A 3,305-nucleotide genomic window follows, 5' to 3' on the forward strand; every position below is an offset into this window, starting at 1 on the left:
GATACAGGCTATTTTCCATCCCAGGACCCCTATGTGTATCTGCTGCTCCCTTTCTTACAGTATACCTTCTGCCCCATTCTGCTTTGTCTGAACTCTAATTTGTCTTTTACAGCTTGGCTTCAGGGTTATTTTCTCCATTAGCCCTTCTCTAACCCCTGTATTTATCTGTCTTAATTTCAAGGAGCAACATGAAGTCAGGAACTTTGTTCACCTCTGCACCCCCAGCACCTAATTCAATGCCTGGCCCACAATTTGTCTTCCTTATTGGGTTGAAAGTAAATTGAAATCACCATATTTGCCTGATTCATTTTTGTATCTTTCCAGAATGCCTAGAATAGTGCCTTGCACACAACAGGAGATCAATAAATATTTGTTAAATATATAAATGACAAAAATGTAACAAGTGTGTTCTTTCTTCCTATACTTCAAGGGAACATACAGTAAAGAATCATGATACCAGAGTTAAACAAATCCACGGGAACCTCCCAGGAAACCAAAACGTGCAAATGTGCCAGGAGGTTTTACAGATTAAGTCCATATGGGATTTTAAAAAAAAACAGAAGTGCTGTAGGACTTTATTGTGAATTGGATCTGCCAATATCAGTGCTGAAGAAGCCAACCCTGAAGCCAAATACCAGCATTTGTTTCCCAAACACTGATTAAAACAAATATTTTTCAGTTGCCATAGCTTTTGGATCTATTTTTGACATGCACGCTGAATGCAGCAAATAACATGGAAACTCTGGCTCCCTTCATTGCTGCTTAACATTGAGGACTCTAACCTCACTAGTGAGGTCAGAAAACACCAGCTACACAACCACACAAGATACCTTTCCTTGCTCCTAGGCTGCCAACTGCAGTACTATCTTTGGGATGGTTCGTCATGTCTACTAGCTGCACGTGCTTTAAAACTGAATACAGCCTCAATACAGCCTTTAAGTTTGGAAACTAGTTAAAATTAGACTAAGTCTTGTGTCTTTATAGGAAAGCACTGACAATATCTCTTTGATACATAGCATAGCCCTGATATACAATTTTAATTTTTTATTGTGGAAATTTAAGAACATATACAAAATTATAGAGAAGATTAAAAGGATCTGAAGTACCGTTCACCCAGCTTTGACAACTATCAATTGTGAAAGGAGAACTCAGACACAAAACTATTAAGAAAATAATTTTTACTTTCACTATTCTGTAAGGCAGATCATACTTCAGAACAACTGGGCTATCTAAACAAAGAACACAGCAGGCTTTTAGAGAAAAACACAAGAGGTTACCAAGTGTACAGTTAGTCTGTTCCTCACATGACTACACTATCTGCAAAGGTTATCACCTATATGTTGATATTAATATTGCAAAATCAGGAATTAATTTTTTTTTTATTTTTTTTTTGAGACAGAGTCGCTCTGTCGCCCAGGCTGGAGTGCAGTGGTGCAGTCTCGGCTCACTGCAACCTCTGCTTCCTGGGTTCACGCCATTCAATCAGGAATTAAATTGTTTGCATTAGGGTAGCAGATTACAAAAAGGGCATGGTCTTCATTTAGAGAAAAGTGTTAGGGTGTTTCTGCCTGTTTTAGTATTTTTAAGAAAGTCAAGTGTTTGGGGTTTTGCGGGGGCAGGGATGGGTTTTTTGTTTTGTGTGTGACTGCTATATAATGTGCTAAGTGAAGACAGCAGCAAGGCAAGATATCATTCATGCTTCCTTAGCCCCTCCTTCTGGCCAGGGGCTGCCAGAAGTGTAGATAATTTGACTACACGGGTTTGTTCAGAAATGTTCTGATCCATATTATTAACTTGATGGGTTTTTCTCTTTGACCAATTAAATTTATATAGTTGCTACAAAAGGTGTGGATTAACACTAGGAGATTTCTTTGCTGTATGGTTTTAAAAATTAAAGCCTTAAAATACGAAGGATTGGAGAATTAAATTCTGTCTAGAGGCTTCACAAAGCCCCTAGTCAGATTTTGATCACATCAGTTTCGCAGATGATTTTGAATTGCTGTTCTCAATCAGCTTGTCCTTTCTAGGTCTAGGAGAAAAAAGGCATCCAGTTTGCCCGGACCACGCTTTTCCTCAAGAACTACATAACTAGGACGTCCTTCCTTCTCTGAGGTCCCCAAGTCTGTCAATGTTCCTGCTATGTCAGCAAGTGGCATTCGTTACTAACTGTAAGGCTGAGATTTCACTAGCCAGAGAGCAGGTACAAGGTAAGTTTCCTGGGAGGATGTTGTGGGCATCATTTCCACATATCAAGTACAGTCCCTGTGTCTTATTTTTGGGGGGGGGGGGGGTGAGGGGGGATGGAGTTTTGCTCTTGAGGCTGGAGTGCAATGGTGCAATTTTGGCTCACTGCAACCTCTACCTCCTGGGTTCAAGCCATTCTCCTGCCTCAGCCTCTCAAAGTGCTGAGATTACATGCGTGAGCCACCGCGCCCGGCCCAGTCCCTGTTTCTTAAAGTCAGCTTGTCGTGCCTCATTAAGTCAGACTTGTTTTAAAATGTGACATTTCTTGCATGGTAACGTGACAAATTTTCTTTATCTAACCATATCCCAAGACAGAGGTGTACTGACCCTATGTAAATAATGACATGGTCATAAAAAATAAAGTGAAGCAACAAATGGCACTTCAATAATAACCACTGTTACATGCAGTTTTACAGACAAGCCAATCAATGTGTGTCACTCTTTCTCAGAATCAGTTTTCTTAGATTTTTCTCTTATTTATTCACTTATAATCTATACCCTAAGATATTTTATAGATTTTTTTTCTGAATTCTGAGACATCAGTTGTAATGAGATACCATTTAAAGAATGTTTTGTTCCACTTCGTACAGGGTTTGTTTATTAAATCGAGAATTAGTGATAGATCAAGAAGAAAGAAAAGGGGTGTTGTTCTCATTTGCCAAACAGAATATAGATTAGCCCCAAGTGAATTTTCATCTTAATTTCTTTCCATCCTGCATCATTAATTCTTGTTTTCTGAACTTGGTTTAAGTAACCCTACTATCACAAAGTCATCTGCTTTTAGACTAAATAAAAGGTCCTAGAAATGCTCAGTCACACAGTCCAACCATGGGCTTCAGGTGACAGTGTCAGCTTATACTGGAAAGCCTGTGTCCATGAATCTGTTCCATTTAGTGTCAATAGTTAAAAGAACCTATTTGAGGCCATTGCTGAGGTTATGATCCCCTTGATGTTTCTTCCAGAGACTCCATTATTAATTTATTGATTAATATCAAGGGTGTTTAGATAATTGCAAAGGAAAAGAAGAAACTACCTGTTGACGACAAGACTGAATGGCTTGG

Source organism: Homo sapiens, chromosome 11, assembly GCF_000001405.40.
Source record: "Homo sapiens chromosome 11, GRCh38.p14 Primary Assembly".
Classification (NCBI taxonomy): domain Eukaryota; kingdom Metazoa; phylum Chordata; class Mammalia; order Primates; family Hominidae; genus Homo; species Homo sapiens.